The sequence below is a fragment of the Homo sapiens genome, chromosome 3, assembly GCF_000001405.40.
Source record: "Homo sapiens chromosome 3, GRCh38.p14 Primary Assembly".
In the NCBI taxonomy this organism is placed as follows: Eukaryota; Metazoa; Chordata; class Mammalia; order Primates; family Hominidae; genus Homo; species Homo sapiens.
The window spans coordinates 67,723,783-67,747,855 of record NC_000003.12 but is presented as its reverse complement, the minus strand read 5'-3'; the positions used below and the strand labels follow the sequence as shown (position 1 = coordinate 67,747,855).

Sequence of the window (24,073 nt, the reverse complement as noted above, 5' to 3'; positions counted from 1 at the left end):
GCTCAGGAGTTTGAGACCCATCTAGGCAACATAGCAAGGTCTCATATCTAACATAATAATAATAGATTGAATAAATAAATTGGAAAAATAGACAAATCTCCTGGGCAGAAAGATTTCAAATATTTAATGTAGTTACTCTGCCCTCAAGGAGATGGAGCTCTCTTTAAGTATGGCCTGTGCATAGTGACTTCCTACAAAAGAGTATAGTATGGAAAGTGGGGAAAAGTAACTTTACAGTGGAGAAATCTGACAAATGTTATCTCAGTCAAGTGGTCAATGTCAACATCATCAGTAATAAGTTGTATTGATGGCATGGTATCTTTGACATGATGTGACAAAAAGGGCTCATGATCTTTCTTCTGAAGACCCATAGTCCCAATTCAATCATGAGCAATTCATCAGTCAAAGCTCAGTCGAGGGACATCCTAAAAAACACCTGTCCAGTACTGCTCAAAACACTCAAGGCCCTTAAAATTTTGGCCCTGAAACTGTACCTACGAAGAGGAGTCTTAGGAAACTTGATATCAATATGAAATGTGATTTCTGGGATGGGTTCCTGGAACAGAGAAATGGCATTAGGTAAAAACTGAGGAAATCTTTATAAAGTATAGAATTTAGTTAATAATAACATATCATCAATACTGGTTCAATAATTGTGACAAATGTACCATACTAATGTCAGAAGCTAATTATAGGGTGAGGCAACTTTCCATATCTTTGCAACTTTTCTGTAAATATAAAGCAATTCAAAAATAAAGTTTTATTTTTGTAAAAACTGTATAACTTTGGAACAAAGTTTAAAACAATTTTTTTTTAGTTTGGAAAAGTAAATCTGAAAGAAGTAAATTCATTTAATCAATACATCAGCTCATTAATTTATTTGTTCGTTCATTGATACCTTTTATTATTCAACAAATACTCTTCTGTCTAATTTGTTGCAGCATAGCACTATATCGTAAGGGCTCCACAGCTCTATAATGGGTGTTTTCTCTATCTGATGACTTGTATACCCTTGAGAAGATGTTGTTTACTACTCTGGGGAGTTCAAAATTCCAGCACAGTGCAGCAGACCATTTGATGAAATCCTGAAAAGAAAGGAGGGAAATATTGAAGGGCAGGTGCTACTCAAAAGGTTACTGTGGATGGAGAATTTCTCATAACTGGATTTTTATGATAGATTATATTGCACACATTGGTCTATTGAAAATGTCTTTGATTATTTTCTGACTATGTGGTCTTCAAATGCACTGTAGTGTTAATCAGAGCCTGTAATAACTACCTGTTATTGGTTGACCTGTGACATTACCATGTTCTCATAGTGGCAACAAAAGTCAGTCTTTGAGTACTATGTTCAATTAACTAAAAATATTTAGAATACTAAATTGTTTCCAAAGAGAAATCTTTTGTGTGACAGATGTAAAATAACACCCATAAGCTGAAGGGTCTTTCTTAGAAAAGCATTCTGTAGCAGCTTTAACAAGAGTATTGGGTGTCACTTTAGGAAGCTCACTTCTTTTGGCCTGCAAATAATTTAATATTTAAATTTGATTTAATTATTAAATTGATTTTGAATATAAGCTGATCTCATATTCAAAGTCCTGTACTTTAGAAGAAATGATTGAGGCCAGGCACAGTGGCTCACGCCTGTATTCCTAGCACTTTGGGAGGCCGAGGTGGGCGGATCACGAGGTCAGGAGATCAAGACCATCCTGGCTAACACGATGAAACCCTGACTCTACTAAAAATACAAAAAAATTAGCCGGGCGTGGTGGCGAGTGCCTGTAGTCCCAGCTACTCGGGAGACTGAGGCAGGAGAATGGCGTGAACCCGGGAGGCGGAGCTTGCAGTGAGCCGAGATCACTCCAGTGCACTCCAGCATGGGCGACAGAGCAAGACTCTGTTTAAAAAAAAAAAAGAAGAAGAAGAAGAAGAAGAAATGATTGAATTATTCTAATTATTCTCATGGTCATTTTGCCTTCTATAGGAGTACACTCTGATCATCAAACTCATTTTCCACTGCAAAATATGTTGAACACAAAAACTGAAGTTCTTGAGGCATTTAGATACACATTTTTTTTTGTAGTGACCACTGCAATGTGGATTAAGTCTGACTAGAAATATACCTTCAACTTAATGATCTAATGGTTGTCCCCCAAGCCCACAGAAATAGCACATAGCATAAATCTGTGTTTTCTGAAAATATCACATTGTATTCTTGAGGTCATCAGCATGGAAATGATCTCCAGTGTAAAATCTATATGAGATATATGGGACTCTCTACAAGGAATATTGGATTATTGCACTCTGTAGCTTTGAAAACCATCTTTCTTGGACGACAGCAGAAAGCTTCAATATACTTGCATGAATTATAAATGACACCCAGTACTCTTGTTGAAGCAGTTGCAGAATGCTTTTCTAAGACAGACCCTTCAGCTTGTGGATATTATTTTACATCTGTCACACCAAAGATTTGCCTTTGGGAATACTTTAGTTTTCTAGATATTTTTAGTAAATTGAACATAGTACTCAAAGACTGTTTTTTTTTTTTCTTTTCTTTTTTTTTAATTCTCAGAATGGAAGAGACATGTATTTAACCTGAAAATGAAGTCATGGCTTTTAAACAATTAGCCCCAAACAGGAATTGATTTAAAAAAAAAAAAAAAAAAAAAAAAAGCCTGTCTGTGAAGGAGTGAGAGACAAAACTAACATTGATTTTGGAGTATAGCTTCTTAATAGTTCAGACTTTTAGGTGCCTTTGAACATCTTTACTATCAGTAGAGAAATATCAGTAGAGAAATGGGGTAGCATACAGATCAGAAGCCCCAAATCAACACTCTCTTTTTCAAAGACAAACTGCTGGCTTAATTCACATTCTTTTACATATCTTTTTTTTTTTTATATTCTCTCTAAACACTCCACATATTTTTAGGCTTGGTACTTATACCATGGGCTTTTACCATGTCAGCAGTTTTCTTTAGTGACAGCCTAAATAAATAGTTGAATTTTAAGGACATACCTGTCATTGAAAAACCAATAGAATGAAATCAGACTCCTTCAGTATTCAAAGTGAAGATCACTCAACAACCAAAAAAAAAATTTTAAACTGTTCATACATTTCCACTTTTACTCAACCAAAAAATACCTTTCTAATACCTTTAAATGATTTTTTAATGTGTTATAAGTTGGTAGACTCCCTGGAATCTACAAAGGAAAGCAAATAATGTGTATGCTATTGAATTATGTATTATAATTTTTCCCCAACAAGATAACAGAAAGTACACTAGGTTCACAGTCATACCATGGTTTGAAAGAAAATTATAGAGTGAAACCAGACCTTAGAAAGATGCAGAGGCAAGATCACTGAGCAATGTGTCCAGAGGACCAGAGAGATTTGGGTCTCTTCTCTGGGGTTAGTTAGTTGTGTGACTGAGGCTGAGTTACTCAGCTTATTGAACTCCAAAGTAGTCATTTGTTATAAATTTTTCATAGACTCATGAATGATTGGAATTTAGAATAATGGGCCAGTTATCCTGGCTCACATCTATAATCCCAGGATTTTGAGAGGCTAAGACAGGAGTATGTTTTGAACTCATGAGTTTGAGGCCAGCCTGGGTAACATAGTGAGACTCCACTTCCACAAAACGTAAAAAATATTAGCCGGGTGTGGTGGCACATGCCTGTTGTCCCAGCTATTCAGGAGGCTGAGGCAAGAGAATCAGTTGAGCCCAGGAGTTCGAGGCTGTAGTGAGCTATGATTGTATTACTGCACTCCAGGCTGGGTGACAGAGCAGGAACCTGTTTCAAAACAATTTTTTAAAAGAAATTTAGAACAATGAAGTTAAAAGTGACTTGACTATCATTCCAGTGTCACTAATCCGTACTAAAAAACACGAATTTTGTAAATTAGTATCAAAAAAACACAAAAAAGATTCCAAAAAGAATAAAAAGTGAGTCCTCTAAAACTTTAATGTATAAGCTTCCCATTTCAGTTCTGATATGTAAAGTGGTAGTCACATTCCAATCATTTCCATCCTTAAAACAACAATAAAAAGCTGATCAAATTGAAAATCAATGGCTTTTCTTGGATCCATCAGAAAATTGAGGTCCCAAAGTAAAACATCATCTTGACACCTGGAGAATGTCATTACTACAGAAAACCACCATATCACAAAGATAAATCACAAGACATAAATGAAGGAACATAGGATATATAAAATAATTAGATAACGATGAACAAAATGACAAGAGTAAGTTCTCTTCCATCAATAAAAACCTTGATTGTAAAGTTTGAATTCCCGGTTAAAAGATACAGACTGGCTGAATAGATGTTTTAAAAAACTCAACCATATGTTGCCTGTGAGAAGGTACTTCGTCCATAAATACACACATAGACTTAGAGTTAAGGGATATAAAAAGGTATTCCACACAAATGGAAATCAAAAGCATGTAGAAACAGCTGTACTTATATCAGAAAAAACAGACTTTAAGTGAAAAAAAAAAGAAATCAAGAAGGTGATTATATAATGATAAAGGGACAAATTCAGCAAGAAGATATATGTTGTGGGGTGGGGGGAGGGTGGAGGGATAGCATTAGGAGATATACCTAATGTTAATGACAAGTTAATGGGTGCAGCACACCAACATGGCACATGTATACATATGTAACAAACCTGCACATTGTGCACATGTACCCTAAAACTTAAAGTATAATAATAAAAAAAGAAGATATAACAATTATATATGTACCCAACAAAGAAGCACCCAGGTATATAACAAGTTAGCTCTAATAATATAGTAAGAGCTGGGAACTTCAACACCTCACTTTCAGTATTGCACAAATCACCTAGACAGAAACTCAGCAAGGAACATTGGACTTAAACTGCACTATAGACAAAATGGACCTAAGAGACTCTTACAGAACTGTAAATGCAAATTAAACATGTTTCTGAATGATTATTCAGTTAATGAAGACATTGAGAAAGAAATAAAAAAAAGTCTTGAAACAAATGAAAATAGAAACATACCAAAACTCATGGGATATAACAAAAGCAGTACTAAGAGGGAAATTTTTAGCAATAAATGACTACATCAAAAATGTACAAGGATTTCAAATAAACAACCTAATTACGCACTTCAAGGAACTAGACAAGCAAGAACAAACCAAACCCAAAACTGATAGAAGGAAAAAAATAATAAAGATTATAGCACAACTAAAAGACGTTGAGATAAAAAAAATACAAAAGGCCAACAAAGCAAAAAGCAGGTTTTTTTGAAAAGATAAACAAAATCAACATACCATTAGCTAAATTAAGAAAAGGAGAAGACCCTAATAAATAAAATCAGAAGCAAAAAAATGGAGACTTTACAACTGATACCACAGAAATACAAAGGACTATTAGAAACTGTTATGAACAATTATACACCAACAAATTGGAAAACCTGCAAGAAATGTATAAATTCCTGGACATATATAACCTACCAAGACTGAATCAGGAAGTCATAGAAAAACTGAAGAGACCAATAATAATTAATGAGATTCATTGTTAATAAAAAGTCTCCCAACAAAGAATAGCCTAGTCTGAATAGCTTTACTGCTAAATTCCAAACTTCTAAAGAAGTCACATTAAATCTTCTCAAACCATTTCAAAAATTGAAGCGGAGGAAATTCTTCCTAACACATTCTATGAGACCAGCATTACCCTCATACCAAAACCAGAAAAAGACATAACAAAAAAAGAAAACTGCAGGACAATATCCCTGATGAAGAAAGCTGTAAAAATTCTCAACAAAATACCAGCAAACTGAATCAAACAGTGCATTGAAAAAAATAATACATCATGCTAAACTGGGATTTACCCCAGGGATGCAAGGTTGGTTCAACATTTGCAAATCAATGAATGTAATACATCACATCAACAGAATAAAACCCAAAAATCATGTGATCATCTCAATAAACACAGAAAAAATATTTTATAAAATGATTTTAAAAACTTTAAACAAATTAAATATAGAAGGAACATACCTCAAAACAAAAACAGCCATATATAGGACAAACCCATAACTAACATTATACTGAACGGGGCAAAGCTGAAAGCCTTCGCTCTAAAAGGTGGAGAAAGACAAAAATGCCCACTTTCACCACTTCTACTCAACACAGTATTGGAAGTCCTAGCTAGAGTAATTAGCAAGAGAAGAATTAAAGGGCATTCAAATTAGAAAATAGAAAGTCAAATTGTCCCTCTTCACAGAGTACATTATCTTGTATATAGAAAAACCTAAAGATAAATAAATACCCTTAGCACAGACAAATCTAGTAAAGTGGCAGAATACTGCATCAATATATACAAAAATCAGTAGTGTTTCTATACATCAATAAAGAACTAGTTGAAAAAGAAATCAAACTGCAATTCCATAGCTACAAAAAATATGTAAAATACCTAGATATAAATTTAACCAAGAAGGTGAAAGATCTCTATAATGAAAACCACGAAATGCTGATAAAAGAAATTGAAGAGGCAACACAACAACAACAACAAATGGAAAGACATATCAGGCTCATAGAACAAAAAAATTAACATTGTTAAAATGATTATACACCCAAAACAATCTACAGATTCAATGCAATTCCTATCAAAATATCAATGACCTTCTTTACAGGAACTTTTAAAAACTGTTCCAAAATTTGTATGAAACCATAAAAGACCTTGAGTAGCCAAAGCTATGCTGAGCAAAAAGAACAAAGCTGAAAGTACCACACCACCTGACTTCAAAATGTACTACAAAGCTACAGCAAACAAAACAGCATAGTATTGGTATAAAAACAGACACACAGACCAGTGGAAAGTAACAGAGAACCTAGCATTAAATCCATATGTTTACAGCCAACTAATTTTTGACAAAGGCACCAAGAATACATATTGAGGAAAGCACAACCTCTTCAAAAAGAGATGGTAGAAAAACTGGATATCCATATGTAGAAGAATGAAATGATCCCTGTCTGTCACCATATACAAAAATAAACTCAAAATGAATTGAAGACTTAAATATAAGACCTGAAACTATAAAATCACTAGAAGAAAACATAGGGGAAACACTTGAGGACATTGGTCTAGGCAAAAAACTTATGACTAAGATTTCAAAAGCACAAGCAACAGAAACAAAAAAAGACAAATGGCACTATATCAAACTAAAAAGCTTCTGTACACCAAAGGAAACAATCAACATGAGAGAGAGACAATGTGTTGAACGAGAAAAAATATTTGCAAACTATTAATCTGAAAAGGAACTAATATCCAGAATATACAAGGAACTCAAACAATTCATACAAAAAAAGATCTGACTTAAAAGTGGGCAAAGGATCTGAAAAAACACTTCTCAAAAGAAGATATACAAATGGCCAAGAAGTATATGAAAAAAATGCTCAATATCACCAATCATTAGGAAAATGTAAATCCAAACTACAGTGAGATATCACCTCACTCCCATCAGAATGGTTATTATCAAAAAGACAAAAAATAACAAATGCAGAAGAGGATGCAGAGAAAAGGCAATTCTTTTACAAGCATATATCTGCCCCCCATGTTTATTGCAACACTATTCACATAGCCAAGATATGGGATCAACCTAAATGTTCATCACCAGATGAATAGATAAAGAAAATATGGTATATATACACAATAGAAGCTATCCAACCATTAAAAAGAATAAAATCCTGTCATTTGTGGCAACATGAAAAAGTCTGGAAGGTATTATGTTAAGTGAAATAAGTCATCAAAGAAAAATAAATACTATGTGTTCTCACACACATGTGGGAGTTGAACAACTGAACAGAGGAAAATTGTGGTTATAGAGGCTGGGATGAGTAGGAGGCAGGGAAGGATAGGGAGAGGTTGGTTCAAGATACAAAATTACAGCTAGATAGCTAGATAATAAGAGGAATAAGTTCTCATGTTCTATGGCACTATAGGGCAAATACAGTTAACAATAATTTATCATATATTTTCACAAAGCTAGAAGAGAGGATTTTGAATGTTCACAATACAAAGAAATGATAAACATTTAAGGTGATGGATATTCTAATTACTCTGATTTGATCATTACACATTGTATACATGTATTAAAATATTACTCTGTATCCCATAAATATGTACAACTATTATGTGTCAACCAAAAATAAAAGGGAGAAAATAACAAGTCAGATGCAAAAGAGTGCATACTGTATGATTACATTGGAACAAAGCACAAAAAGTAAAACAACTAATATATGCTGTCAAAGCTAGTGGTTATCTTTGGAGAAAAGCTGAAAAGAGGCAAGAGATAGGCAGTTGGAAGAGTGGCAAACTTTGGTCTCTTAACCTGGGTCCTGGCTACATGGCTGTGGTCAGTTTGTTAAAATCATCAACCTATACACTTATGATTTATGAATATATATCTTACTATAATGAAAAGTTTAAACAATTGGCTCCTATAACTGAAATACACATGGTTAGTGTTCAGGAACAACTCTGTAATGATACCCAAACGATGCCTTCAGAATCTGTCTCTCTAGCTCTCTGCTTATCTGCCCTGGTTTCTTCTTTGTTGGTTATTATCTTGGACAGGCTCTTCCCATGTGGTATCAAAATGTCCACGAGCAGCCTCAGGTTGTCTGGTTAGAAACATAGCAAAAGGAGAGTTCCTCCACTCTTCCTCAAGATCAAGGAACTGCATCTCATTGGATCAAACTGAGGCACGTGTCCCTTCCTCTACAAAGTAATATTGGCAGGGAGTTAAAATATACGGATAAGTGAGGTCTAGATCATGTGCCCATCCCAAAGCCATTATATCATTATTGTCATTATCATCATCTGTCACAGTTCTGGGAGTTGACTGCACCAGCTAATCTGTTCTCACTGGGGGTCTCACAGTGTAGTTGCATCCAGATGGTGGCTAAGCTGGACTCATCTTGAAGGCCTCCTCCTCACATACCTGCAAGGGAAGATGGCTTGGACGCTGGGGCTTCATGAGCATCTCTTTCTATCTCTATGTATTCTTTCCTCATAACCTCTCTAGCATGGTGGCTTCAAGGTGAAATAAATTTTCATCAGAAAATAGCCAAGGTTGTCTGTATATTATCTATGGCTGCTACATGCTACAATAGCAGAGCTATGGAGTTGTGACAGAGGCCATGTGGGTATGGCCTGTGAAGCTGAAAATATTTACAATGTGAGCATTTGCAGAAAAAATGCGCTGACCGCTGACCTGTGCTCAAATGTCAGACAGTGTAATTTCTGCTGCATTCTATTTATTAGAAGTAAATCACGGAGGCCAGTTGATATTCAAGGGGAGAATTTGTAGGTATATTCTAAACCAGGGGTCCCTAACCCCCAGGCCATGGACCAGTACCAATCCGTGGCCTGTTAGGAGCTGGGCCACACAGCAGGAGGCAAGTGAGCATTACCGCCTGAGCTCTACCTCCTGTCAGATCAGCAGGGCATTAGATTCTCATACGAGCATGAACCCTATTGTGAACTGCACATGCAAGGGATCTAGGTTGCACATTTCTTATAATAATCTAATATTTGATGATCTGAGATGGAACAGTTTCATTCCAAAACCATCCCCCACCCCCAGCCCATCTGTGGAAAAAGTGCTTTCCATGGAACCGGTGCCTGGTGCCCAAAAGGCTGGGGAGTACTGTTATAAACCACCACAGAGGTGGAGTCACCTAATATATGTGCACTGAGAGGAAAAGGAGAGTGCTGTTGGCTACAGAAGGTACAAAGATGTTGAAAAGACCAAAACAGGAAAACCACTTCAGGTGAGATAGTGTGTTTTTAGTTCTCCGAGCAGGTTAACTGAGTTAAGTTACAGATGGTGCATTTCTTCTCCAAGCAAGCTATTACCATTTTCCATACCAGGAAAGTAACAGCGGAACTTGCTCCCCTCCAAAATTATCCCTATTGCTCAGGGGCACTTATGTTAAAGTCATTATGACAACTTTTACAATGCTCTAATTGAGCTGCTTGGGCACAGAAGAATTGCTTCTTGCTAAAGGAAAATAGCTGGGAGAATTACAAAAATGGCATACCAGAAAAAATGCGACATATTCCTGGGCTTTTGAAATGTCAGACTTCTGGGCACCAATTTATCTGACTTACATTACAGGGCTACAAATAGTCAGCAACTCTTATTTGGCCATTTTTCACAATAAAAATACATTTCTAAGTGCTATTTTAGCTCAATAATGATTGTACAGATCTACTTATTTTTCATTTATATGTGTGTATGTTTGGAGGAGGGGGTGGTTCCCTAAGTATTACCTTGCCCTTGGCAATGTTTGGCAACAAAGGAGAATGTACTATATTAATCAGATTGGACCACTTGCTTAGTGGAAGATTGTGATCTGGATTTTAACAAAATACAAAGCATTAAAAACCTACATGGAAAATTAAGCAGTCACTGAGTTCTTCCTACAGGAATATGTCACTGACATCATCTCTTCAGCTCCAGCATAATGGAGGAGGCTGAAGGCCATTATTATAATCAGGAAGAGATTCACTGTGATTGTATGACTCCCAGAGAGGCAGCTGAAATGTGGGTTGGAAATGCTGAGGAGAGGGGTGGGAGTAGGATGCAACCAATCCAGGAGAATAGCAGGCTCCTTTTGACTGGCCATACTTCTCACGTTAGTAGATGCATAGCATCTTAAGAGAGAAATACTGCCCAGCAAGGACATTATGAAACACAGGCTAGATGTTGATGGAAATGATTTTTTCACCTATATTTCAAGTGCTGGAGTGGAGAGGAGATTACTTTTAAGGGGCAGGGAGGGGGCCTTTACTCTGCAAGCTCATCACCTAATCGGAGAGTTGGGCACATGCACAACTTATTATAATGCAAGGCATCATGTAAAGAGGACCCATCACAGAGTAGGAATTTAACAAATACAAATGGGTGAGAGCTAACATTTAGTTAGGGTTTGTACATAACAGACAATATAATAAATGATTTACATACATTCAACCCTCACTGTCAATTTATTAATTACATAATATTATTATACTTATTTGAGATGCAAGGAAATTAAGGCTTCATGATCAAGTAACTTGATCAAGGTTACTCAGTTTGGTTTTGGAATCTGACTTTTGAACTAAGAAAATCTGGTTCCAGAGCTTGCCCTCTTAATTACTATGTATGACAGCCAATGAATAGGTGGGTGGATGGATGAAAGGATCAAAGGATGGATGGATAGATGGATGGAAAGAGAGATGATATAACCAAAATGTTGTGAAAATGTAGGGGAAGGAGTAAATAAATCTGACTAGCTATTAGATAAGGTTAAACAGAAACGGTTACATTTGACCTGAGTCTTGGCTAAGACAGATGTGTCCAAGCGGAGGAGCTGGAGATGGACTTCCCAAGCTGGCAGCAGAGTCTGAGCAAAGACACCTGATACCCAAGTCTCCATTAATCTAAAGGGTCCAGTCCTGCAGGACTGGACACAGGGCAACCAGGGCAGTATCCCAGAGAAGAGGCTCTGAGTAATAAAACACAGTGAAGGGATATCATGTTGACAAGGATAGGCTTTCTTCTGTAGGCAGTAGAAAGCCTTCAAAGATTTTTTTAAAATGGTAGATAGCATTTATTGAAGACTTAATTTATGCTAGCTACAAAGTGTTAAAATCCTCACAAGAACATTATTGAGCCAGGTGCTACGAATCACTTGCCCAAGGTCATATGATCCTGAACTGTTTGAATCATAATTTGAACCCAGGTAGCCATCCAGAGTGACAGAGCTAAACAGAGCAAGAGAACAGCATGATTTATTTGTGTTTAAAGAGCTAGTCATAGCAGCAGTGTGGATAAGGATAAAACTAAAGGTAAAGAAACTGATTAGAAGGCTATTTATGTTCAGACAAAAGAGGTTGAGGAAATGAGCTAAGGCAGCATTCTCAACTTTGATGCTACTGACATTTTGGGCTGCATAATTCTTTGCTGCAGGGGCTGTCCTGTACATTGTAGGGTGTTTAGCAATATCCTTGGTCCCTACCCAGTAGATACCAGTAGCATCTGCCTTCAAGTTGTGACAAACAAAAATGTCTCCAGGCATCCCCAAATGTCCCCAGGAGGGCAAACTGGCCCTGGTTGAGATCCAGTGAGTTAAGGTATTGATGGGAGGTTGGAGAACAGGAGACATTTTACCAACAGGATAAATAGGACCAAGTGATCAAAGGGTGAAAGGACTAAAGACGTGTCCAGATGTATACCATAGCCATGGAAGGCAGTAATATGCCCAGAGGTTCATAAGTCTAGGTTCAGCAAACCTGGACCTCAGGGTCTAGATTCAGCAAAACTGTGTCCAAAATTCAGCTCTCTAACCTGCTATATGAATTTGAGCAAATTTGTCACACTCTCTAGTTCATAAAAGGACGATCCTAATGGCATCTACTTCAAAAGTTGTAGAGATTAAACCTGGACATTATGAGTAAGTGCTTAGAAGAGTTTCTATCACTTAGTGAGTGTTCAATAAACATCACTACTGGCCAGTAAAGGAAACACAGGGGAGCTTTCTTCAACCCTAGCTTGTGGAGCTCATGGTTTTAAAGTTTTTTCATAAGTGGGCATGGTAAACTTTATAAAGAATTTTTCATTTGATAGAATATTTTTCAACTCATTAAGGTTAAACTGAAAAAAGACTACATAGCTGAATATTTGGTTTGTTACTAATATAGTTTTGTTCTGGGTCCCCACCCAAATCTCATCTTGAATTGTAATCCCCACATGTGGAGGAAGGGACTTAATGGGAGGTGATTGCATCATGGAGGCAATTTCCCCCATGCTGTTCTCATGATAGTGGGTGAGTTCCCATGAGATCTAATGGTTGAAAAGTGTTTGGCAGTTCCCCCCTCACTCGCTGTCTCTTCTGCTGCCATGGAAGACATGCCTTGCTTCCTCTCTGCCTTCCACCATGATTGTAAGGTTCCTGAGGCCTCCTCAGCCATGTGGAACTGTGAATCAATTAGACCTCCTTTCTTCATAAATTACTCAGTCTCAGTTGGTTCGTTATAGCAATGTGAAAATGAACTAATACAGAAACCAATTGTGAGTGTCTGGTGTGTGTGTGTGTGTTTCTAGAAATATCTGTCTGTATGCATATATACATATATATATAAATTAGATGATTGGAGTCACACCAAAAGATTAATAACATTATTACTGGTTGGTAAGATTACGAGTAAACTTAGTTTCCTTGTCTATTTTTTTATTCTCCTTTATATTTTTCTAAAATGAGTATTACTTTTATAAATACAGGACAAAAGCAAACGTACTCAAGTGTCTTTCTTTAAGATATATTAGTTAATATCCCACTATGTGCTAGGAAGTTTGCTACAAACTAAGAATACAATAATGAGACACCCACTCTCCACACACACATATTCACACACACATATCCACACACATGTCTCTACACACAGAGCAACAAAAAAAGCAACAAAACCACAATAAACCATGTGTAGATAACTGAAAATTAGAGATTGAAAAAATCAAGTTCAAATTTAATACAGACACTCTAAAAGCAAGGAATCTGGTTTTGGCGGTGCCATCCTAATTAATCATGCATGTAAGTCTAGCAGAATATTCAAATAATTTTCTAATTCTACTTTGGAAATGGTTCAGTAGAAAACACCATCATCTTCTCATTTTTAGGATTTTGCTTCTCTCATTCAGTAATTTTTATTCCAAAGGAAAAATCATACAATTTTGTAATGTTCCAATCAACCTTGAGTCTGATTAGTAGGGATAGCTCACCTGAAAACTATAATTTTCCACAGGGAGACTTATTTCTGTAACAAAGTCTTTCCTTAACAATGGAAAACAAGAGGTTTTCCATTTCAGAATAAAAATCTTTGCCTCCATGCACATTTAGGAAAATTTAAACAGTATGTATTTTTATAAGCTCCCATAGACTCATGAAAACAGTAAGTTGAGCCTCAGGAAAATTCTCCAACATCCTGACTGTGTGTTTAAGCAAGAAAGAAGTGACCACGTGGGACTTGCTCCAACACTGTGATTCTGACACAAAGTTGTCACTCTCAGTTTCAACTGGTGTCTCTGTGTAGAGTGTAATTAAGATGGTCAACCACGCATGCTCACTCCACCCTCTGTATCTTTTAAGATTAAGTATACACTGAAATGATGGAAAGTATGCAGCTGATGGAATAGGCATTCTGTGTCTGCCCCTTGTCATTCTTTCTCACTGCTATATTTCTAGAATTAGGCTTCATGTTCTGTCATCTTAAATATTTTAATACTTTACTGATCTCCAACATGTTTAGCCATAGGAGGATAGCAGTAAAATAAAATTTTATAGCCAACAAAGTCCTTTATACCTAAAGTTTATTGCACATTTTATATTTTGTTTAACAACACATTGTTCCTGGAGACTCTGAAATACACACGGGTTCCTCAAATTGCAGTGTGCTTATGTTTTTTTCCTTATTGAGGGTTTATTTCATTGTCAAGGTAGAAATAATTCCTGATAATTGGCTAGGGTGGCTGAAATTCTACTGGGAAGGCACTTATTTCTGCAAAAGTATGGAGGCAACCTTAAAGCTCTTCTGTGTTAGGAAAAATACCCTCACTTTAATGTTGGCTTCCAAAATACATACATTCTCCACTCAAAGTGACCATTTTCCATGAACTCCCCAATTTTCCTCAATATACTCAGGATTTAATTCCATTTCAAACAACAAAACAGGGAAGTCAATTGATGAAATAAGAAGGAGCCCAGTGGATCTTCATATAGATGATGTTATATGGTGACAGCTTTCCTGTTGCTTGGCTAGGGTTTGTAAAAATATTGTTTCATAGTACTGACCAAGTAATTGTTTTCTGTAATGATGATTTTTAAGAATAATGAGCACCACCCTTTTATTGCTCTTTTGTTTAGAAAGTTGCCATGGTGGCACCGAATTGATGGAAAAATTTTAACCTGGTACAAGACATTAAAGTAGTTGCCATTTTTCACATTTTTCACAGATTGAGAAAAAAAAACTATCTTCTTACATTTTTTGCTATAGGGATAAAAAATAAACAACTACAAAATTCTAGCTTTTTCCATAAGGTAAGGTGCAGAGAGAACTGGCATCCTAGAAGAGAGTAACGGAATGGAAACACCATCACACTGGATTGAATTTGCAGCACCCATGCTATTATCCAGATGGCAAATGACTCAGTTGCTCCACCAGTAAAAACTAAATGAATAATAATATAATTAGATTTGATTTCTGAGGTCCTTTCCAGCTCAAATTTTCTATAAGTCTAAACAAAATACATTAACCTGATTGCATCCAAACTATACTATTGTCAAAGAGTCACTGGATCACATTCATACTTTCTACTAAGATTTATTACACAATTAACATTCACCAAGACCTCAATATTCTGCATTTATCTTCACCATTAACATTTTCTCACAGGATATATTTCAGGATATTCTTGTGAGAAAGGGTTAAAAAGAACACCAACCGCCGTACAGAAATAAATCACTGATCTTCTTGGTCCTACTGAGCTCTTGACCTATTTTCTTGCCTGAATTGCCAGAAAAGAAATTCAAAAGCCTTTAACCCTCCTCATACTTAGAAATAGAATCTAAAAATATACACGTCACATAGAAGTTTCTCATCACCTCTTATTATCTCCAAGGATGAGATCACTGAGTCTTAGAATGCGAGGGGTGTCAGAGGGGTCACCGTTTCTGGATGCTGACCTCAGATCTGCAAAACTTTTGGGCCATTGCTGTCAGATACTGAGTTACTGAGTCTTCTATAAGGCCATGTTAAGAACCAAAAGATATCAAAAAGAGTGGAATTTAGCTCTTGGATTTTTTGATGACTTCTTTCCCCTAATATTCTTGTAGTCAGGAAGTTCATTCAATTGTCTACCTTCTTTGGCTTCAATATAAATGTATTTTGTGTCCAGTCTGTCTTCTACTGAGATGGAAATAATGCCTCACGTCTCTTTGAATTTCCCTCCTTACTCTTGAATAAGGTTGTTAAGGTGTCCTTCAGCTACCATTACTGTAAGCCCTGTATCTTTTGCAATAAACATAACTACAAACTGCTCTAGGGTCTTCTTAAAGTAATGTGAAATTTTTCCCTTTTTATGCCTGGCATGGGTGATATTAAAGCAAGTAGCACTGGGATGGAAAGATAGAAGAGATGTCAAAAGGATACCCTCCATCCTTAATGCTCCCTTGATGGAAGTGACAGTCTTATTTGTTTTGTTAACCAGTGCATAATTAAAAGTCAATATTCAAGATCATAATAAAAATCTGTATAACTACTCATGTTGTGAGTCTGTGGTTTGGAAGGAGAATCCACTAAAACACAGCCATGTATAATTTACAAGAAATCAGCAATAAAATATTTGCTCTCAACGTTATCTACCAAATGGTCTGTATATTACCAGAATAAATCCATATTATTTGGAGCCTGTAGATAAACATCCATAGGCAAAGTTCACATTGAGGTTATCTGCCTCCTGCTCTGAACTGGGGAGTGCAATTTAGAGGAGATAAATTGTAGTTTACTTCTCCAAGTCTCAAGTATGTCATGCAGAAATGAGTTTAGTTCCTGAGAGGATATCTGTCATATCCAAATAGGAAAGCATGCCATTACAGGGTTGTACCCATTTCAAAAAGAATATAGCTTTTGCCCTCACTGGGAAACAAAAGGAAAATTCTTAACAATTAAAAGTCCTGGATGCACCTTCTGTTCACATAAAAAAGAGAGATTTAATGGCTTATAAAATGCGGATTCACTGGAGGTATGGTTATATTTTAAGTCACTGGTGAATTCACGGCTCATGTATGTGGAATTATTTATGTGGCTATACTTTGGGTTTTGAAGGTATTAATTTTTATTAGCTTTTTAATATATTGGAAAAAATCTAATAGTAATAGTCTGGGGCACTGAACCACCCTGAAAGAGAAGTTTAAGACTATGTCTCCCTAACAAGCCCAAAATGGTTTAGAAGAGAATAAAAGTTGTTGGGCTGATGCTCTCTCATTAGATGAGGTACCTTCATTTCTTCATCCATTACACAAATACTCATTAGGTGCCTCCTAGGTTTTAGAAGTGCAAAAATGAACAAGACAAGGACATTTTTTCAAGAAGCTTGCATCATCTGGGGACATCTAGGAATCAGGGAAGAAAGGCTTCTCAGAGATGCAAGGGCTAAGGGGTGACCTGAAAGACAAATGGGAGTTACCACTCCCTGCCTTTCAATGGCCAGAACCTGCTGCTAGTCTTCGGGAGCCCAGCAGGTTTGCCCAGAGGCACTAGGCAGCTATTAACCAATACTAGTCAGTGCACTGGATGTGAATACCCATCTCCCTTACCTTAGCTTGGGATAACTCTGAGATGAAATTACACTCAAGTTCCCTCGGGGACTCAAGCTGAAGCCTTCCCTTTATGGGCCTTCTCCTGGTATCAAGATAGCACACTTGGCTGGGCTACTCAGGAGGCTGAGACAGGAGGATCACTTGAGCTCAGGAGTTTGAGACCAGCCAGGGAAACACAGAAAGATGGAAACATAGCAAAATAAAATGAATTTTAAAATTGTACAAAAAAAAGAGAGAGAGAGAAAAGAAAGATGACACATTTGCTCAGCTTCCCCCTCTGCTTGTCCTGCTTCCTCCAGGCTCTTACTGGCCTCCCTGGAGCGCTTCCTCAAAAAAATCACCTCCAAGTAAATACACCTTTCAGGGAACCCAACTTCAGACACTTTCAAAGAATCTAAAGTTAATTTGGCTAGAACCTGAGGTGCAGCATGGAGAAAAAGTGGGAGATGGATAAAGAATATTTTATTTTTGTCTGTTTGTTCTGGCTGGTAAGTGATCCTAGGGCCAGCTTCATGGCTGTGCAACCTGCACAGTCACACAGGGCCCTGCACGCAGGCGCACACTGCAGTTGCTTTAATGCTCTGCTGTTGCTGCCTTGAAAGTCTTAGTTTCTAAACATGGACGCTGTGTTTTCAGTTTGCACTGGGCCTTGCAAGTCTAGCCTTGATAAAAAGGCAGTTTTCCAGCCTTTGAAGTACTAAAATCCTTTAAAAAAAAAAAAAGATTATTCTAAATAAAATGTTTGAATTAGTGATTCTCAGGGTGGTGACTAAATTTTCATTTTGCCCTCACCTGTTCATTTAGGGCCATTTGTACTTCACAGAAGGCCTGTCACATTTTTTGGAAGTCCTTAGAAGTCCTTATCGGGTACTTCAAGTGGGCTCCCAAATAACTGTGATCTACCAGGCTCTGTGGCTATGCTGCCCGGCCAAATGGGACATCAGACTCTATCTAATTTCTCCTCTGAAAGCCAGCATTCTCCATGGCCACCCCACCCATCAAGAAGGCAAAGATCTCAGTATTCAGCGACAAAGCAAGAAGAACGCCTGTCCTTCTGCTTAGAACAAAAGCCTGAAAGCAGCGCTGTTGGGCCCCAATGTACAACAGCATTTAAAGAGTTTTTTGAGACTGTACCTGAAAATAAAGAGATACATCCAAGAGCCAGACTAGGAATAAATTAGAATATCATTCACTACACCATCCCTTCTCCTCCCTCGACAACCACAGCTTTGTGAAAGGGACATTTGCAGACTGCCTGCTTTCCTTCCGTAAGACGAACTCCCCCTCAGGTGGTTCCTTAGACCCCTCAGGCAGATTTCCCTTAGCCCCCGTCACCAGTTCACCAGAAATTCTCCAGAAATGCCCAAGGCCTAATGGTCAGCAGTGCCTAGGCCCCAGCTTAGATCCCAGCCATGGTGGAAGCCACCTAAGATTCCAGTGTCTAGCAAGATCTTGGCCCAAAGTATCAATAGAGAGCTCTTCAGGGTCATTTGTTGAAATTTTGGAACTAAATAAAAGGTGAAGATTACAAGAGTGTGGCATTTTAAACAAATATATGAAAATCACATTATTTATAACATGTTGAGTTACCTCTGAATTATATCTGTCCTGGAAATAACATGACAGGGTTAAAATGTAATCCCTAGCACCACCGCCCCTTCTCCCAGAATACTGTTGTTTTCTTTATCTGCCCTCCTTTTTCTTTGGCGCTCCCATTCTGATGAGTTGTTGTGAAAAGACACACTTCTGCTTGCCCAATTTAGAACAGTCACATTCAGGTAAACCAAGAGCTTTGGGGTTGGGTGCTCAGTCCTGCCAGTTTTACCCTCATTTTCCCTGAATGGCTCTAAGCCCAAGGAATGAAAGAGCTGTCTGCTTCTGGTGTTGACATTCTCTGCAAGCTCCCAGCAATCTCCCGGTGTGTTGTTGCTTCTCTCTCCTAGCCCTCATGCACTGCATTCTGTGCTCAAGTGTGTGCGGTTGGCCTGTTGTCTCCATGTGGGCAATACTAAGCCCGCTCCTGGGGAACTCAGCTTCTTCCCTATGGACAGTCTCCCTCCTTGTCTTTTGAGAGCTGCTGACCCTCTGCGTGTCTACCAAGTGGCAAAATCTGCCTGGTTCTACAGATCCGTGCACTGTGCTGTGTCCACTCCCTGGAGTACTCTCCAGCTCTTTATTCTTGGCTACCTTTGCATCCCCTCACTCAGCCACCAGAGTCTCATAGGAACTTCTAGATTTATTCAACATCATGCACAAGCCATACAGAAAAAGAAGAGCCATGTCTCAGACCCCTTTCTTGCCCCTGGATGCCATCCACCATGGCGAGTTCTGCAATCACCTCATGATGGCACAGAGCTTCCTGAGAGGCCTAAACCAAGCTAGGCAAGAATATGGGCCCCATCTTTGGCTAGGCCTTAATTTCTCCAAATTAACCACTAATTGCTACTTCCAATGATTTACACTAGACTCTAAGATGGTGTTAGGGGAAAGGCAGTAAGAACATTATTTATTTATTTATTTTATTTAGTTTTTTTTTTAGACAGTATCAGTCTGTGGTCCAGGCTGGAGTGCAATAGCACAATCTTCAGCTCACTGCAACCTCCTCCTCCTGGTTCAAGCAATTCTCCTGCCTCAGCCCCCTGAGTAGCTGGGACTACAGAAACACACCACCAAGCCTGGCTAATTTTTGTATTTTTAGTAGAGACAGGGTTTCATTATGTTGGCCAGGATGGTCTCAAACTCCTGGCCTCAAGTGATCAGCCCACCTTGGCCTCCCAAAGTACTGGGATTACAGGCATAAGCCACTGCACCTGGCTAGGAGTAAGAACATTCTATCTTTTCTTAGTCATTTTGTCTCCTTCCCCACCTCTGTCCAGTAGCAGCAGGATTTTTTGTCCTGTCTGGCAAGGCCTACTTACATCTATTTATGGTAAAACCAGTTTTAGAACTCCAGGTTTTGGTATTGATATGGAAATGGAAACTCTAAAATTTATAAATCTTTGTTCTATCTCAGTAAACTTGACTTTCAAGACTATTATCTCTCTAGGTTGCTTTCAAAGTGCTCTAAACATCAGCATGTTAGAAAAATATGTTAGAATGCAAATTCTTTGGCCCCATCCCAAACCCAACACTCAATCAACAATGATCTCTTTCTTCTGGGTGATACTTGCCCATTCCTAACCTATGAAGGCTATGGATCTGATGGGTGAGGAATCACAGAGCAACAAGATTTCCTTAAATGAAAAGGAGGGTGGAGCCAAGATGGCCAAATAGGAACAGCTCCAGTCTACAGCTCCCAGCATGAGCGACGCAGAAGACAGGTGATTTCTGCATTTCCAACTGAGGTACCGGGTTCATCTCAATGGGGAGTGCCGGACAGTGGGTGCAGGACAGTGAGTGCAGCACACTGTGGGTGAGCCGAAGCAGAGCGAGGCATCACCTCGCCTGGGAAAAGCAAGGGGTCAGGGAATTCCCTTTCCTAGTCAAAGAAAGGGGTGACAGATGGCACCTGGAAAATCGGGTTGCTCCCACCCTAATACTGCGCTTTTCCAATGGGCTTAACAAACGGCACACCAGGAGATTATATCCTGCACATGGCTCGGAGGATCCTATTACCATTTGAAATTTTTTTTCCATGAAAAAATGGTTTTAAAATGTGGTTAAGTTTCCAGTCTAGTCCCCAAACTTATGTAGCCTGTAACTTTGCTAGAGTAAAGCATATCCACAAATACGGTTCATATTGCCTTGTTGGTACAGGTTAAACAAAGCAGAAGAAATAACATTGAATAAAAGTTTCTTTTTAAAATGCATCTTGAAAACTCATGCCTTTTAATTAAAAAGGACAAGATAGATAAAGACTTTTAGAAAGATTCTAAAACAGATTTTAAGAATAACTGGAACCTTGAGGATCCTACCCCTAGTTCAGAAGAGATACCTAAACCAACAATAGCAAGGATAGCCTTGGTGTTCATGGGATTAATTCTCCCTGACCTCATTATGTATCCACATTACTATCTTCTCTGTGGGTAGTAGATACATGTTGATTTAACCTTCTGGCATCCTTTGCTCTTCTTCTGCTGATAGAATTTCAATTTTGGTGGGCAGAGGAGGAGAGTAATTCCTTTCCTACTTTCAGTTTATGTTTAAATAGAACTGACTCCATAACAGAGGTCAAGAAGTCAGAAAATTAGAGGAAGTCAAAAGATGTGCATATAACACTAGCAGTTCTAGTCACAGCCAATGTGCATGACTTTTACTGAAACTATTGGGGAAAATATCTTAATTCCCCAAGGGTCTCTAATTTTGTAAGACACAAACCTCGTGCTGCTTACATTTTTTTTTTTAATGACAAGCCTACTTGGAAATTAAACCAATACAGGATGGCAAAGCTAAGCAATATAAAAAATGAATTCCTGACTTCAACTTTTTAACACCTAGATCCACCTGTGCCTCAAGCTTGTTTCATAAATACATGAGCCAAAAATTTTCCCTTTATGTTTCAGGATTTTTTTATTGTCTTTCCATCACTTTCAACCAGAATAAAAGACTTCATTTGTTTTACAACAAATATCAACTAATAGTATATGTTTTCACCTTTTTCTATGAGAATACCAAGGAGAACCTACTCAGTTCCTCTTCAGCTTGATACCAGGTGGGTTGTATTCCAGAAATGTCAAAAAGGATTCACATTAGAGGACACTGGCTATTTATCAAACTTCACTTGTCTATGCATGGCTTTTTTGTTTGATTTGGGTTTATTCCTGCCATTAATCACCCATTGTTAGTGGTGTTTTATTTTTCCCTTCCTTGCCCCCAGGGAGATTACAGAAATATAACAAAGAGAGAAAGAGAGAGTTACAGAAATGTAACAAAGACAGGAATACCTTTTTTTGTTAGAGAACAAGAGATCTTATTCTCTCTTTCCACTATTAATATACATATTTTAGCAAAATCACATTTGATTTTCTCCAGGTCTTTGCCTCATACTTGTATAAGAAGCAACTATGATTCTGAGATTTTTGAAGCATTTGGAAGGGAAAGAGTTGTGGACCGGGATTAAATTAAAGGCGAGAGCACAAATAAGAAAGGGATTCCCTAAGATGTAACCAACTGAGCTAAGAACAGTGAAAGACAGGAAAACTGAGCATGCTCTGGACACAATATCAGTGAATGAAAAGGCGGTGGTTGGAAGGAGATGCTGAGTCAGGTGACTCTCAGTAAGACCCTGCTCACTGTATCATCAGCCCCAGGCAGGGGCTTGTACATCAAACATCCACAGATTCATAAGGAGTTGCCCATTGACTGAAAACTATAATCTTCATTTTCATGAACATACCCAGGAAGGCTATGCTTAATAATCTGGTCATTTATAAGACTATGATAGTAAAATCCAGATGAGGAAACACTTAACTTTTTATAACAAAGAGGTTGTGGGGGAGGGGGGTTCATGTTTTGACAGAGGGGGATTTTTTTCCTCTGAAAATGAACATAACCCTAGTTAAAATGAGCAAGAATTTTCAACCTATGGGAATAATTAGTTGACATTTGGCTATAAAATAAACCATTTTTAGAGTGCTAATTTCTGCTTTTTCTACAGCTTTTTAAAAACCCCAGAAAGGTTTTAATTAGGTGGCTGGTAGTATGTTAAAAAGCTACTCAGTATATAAAACTATATAATATGCATAGATATAAATGCAGAAATATAAAGCCAGCACCGAATTGTATGTATAACATATTTGTCAACATGCTTCATTAGGGAGACTTGACAATGTTAACTTATTGCCACAGGGTGTTTGACACGTGGCCTAGGGTGCTCTCTTGGCTCAGGTGATGTGCATGTGAAAAGAAAAACTGTCTGTGTCAAATCTAGAACAGCCAAAATCCACATTGGAATAATTGCAAAATCATGAGCAGTTAAATGATAGAATTCAGGGGACTTCCACATCAGGGAAGATGTAGACATACTTTTTCCTATTCCACCTGCTAAGTAGAACTACAAACCCTGGGCATTATACATAAAACAAACATTAGGAGAGTCTGAAAGGTAGAGGGAAGACAGATGAGCTAGGCAACTTAACCCCCAAAGAACAACATAGTGGAACGTTCCCTGGGTTTGTTTGGTTTGGGGTTTTGGGTCTTTGCTTTTTCACTTCACATATTTCAGACTTGCCACTGAAGAAGCCAGAAATCCAGAAATGCTAATAGGCACAGACAAAAGTATCCCCACAAATTCTGCTCTTCAGCTAAAGGCTAGCAAATGGGCTGCCCAGCAAGGGGAAAGCTTTTAGAAAATAACTGGTCTACTCCAGCCACATACCACAGAAATAACTGTGGCCCCTTCCTGAGCCACAGCAGCCAAGGCTGACTGAGGTGCCCAGGCTTCTCTCCTGAGAGGCTGTTTAACAAAGCACAACAAAGCACTCTGCTGTGTAGGAAGGAAGAGCTGGAAGGCAAGACTTGTATCCCACAGGGCAGTAAAGTCCCTCATCCTTTCATAATATAAGGCCACTGGCGAGCTAGAACTCTTGCTTTGCCCACTAGCATCAGAGGAAGCCAGCTAAAACAGAAAGTTTACATAACATCCAGAGTCTTCATAAAACCCAAAATGCCCATATTTCAATAAAAAAGCATGCATCATATGAAGAACTGGAAAGATCTCAAATTAAATTTAAAAAATGTATAGCTGCC

The 24,073-nt window shown here is 38.0% G+C and overlaps 1 long non-coding RNA gene across 2 annotated transcripts in view; it reads right to left on the bottom strand.

Annotated features, from left to right (window-relative positions):
• The window catches only part of SUCLG2-DT (SUCLG2 divergent transcript), a 293,017-nt gene that overhangs the window by 199,858 nt on the left and 69,086 nt on the right, over nt 1–24,073 (bottom strand). Inside the window, exon 4 of one of the 2 annotated variants that reach the window (NR_109993.1) lies at nt 746–1,085. The exons of the other annotated variant lie outside the window; for it this stretch is intronic. This is a non-coding gene — a long non-coding RNA (SUCLG2 divergent transcript). Of the gene's footprint in view, nt 1–745; nt 1,086–24,073 lie in introns of those variants that run through there. 2 annotated transcript variants of the gene reach the window in all.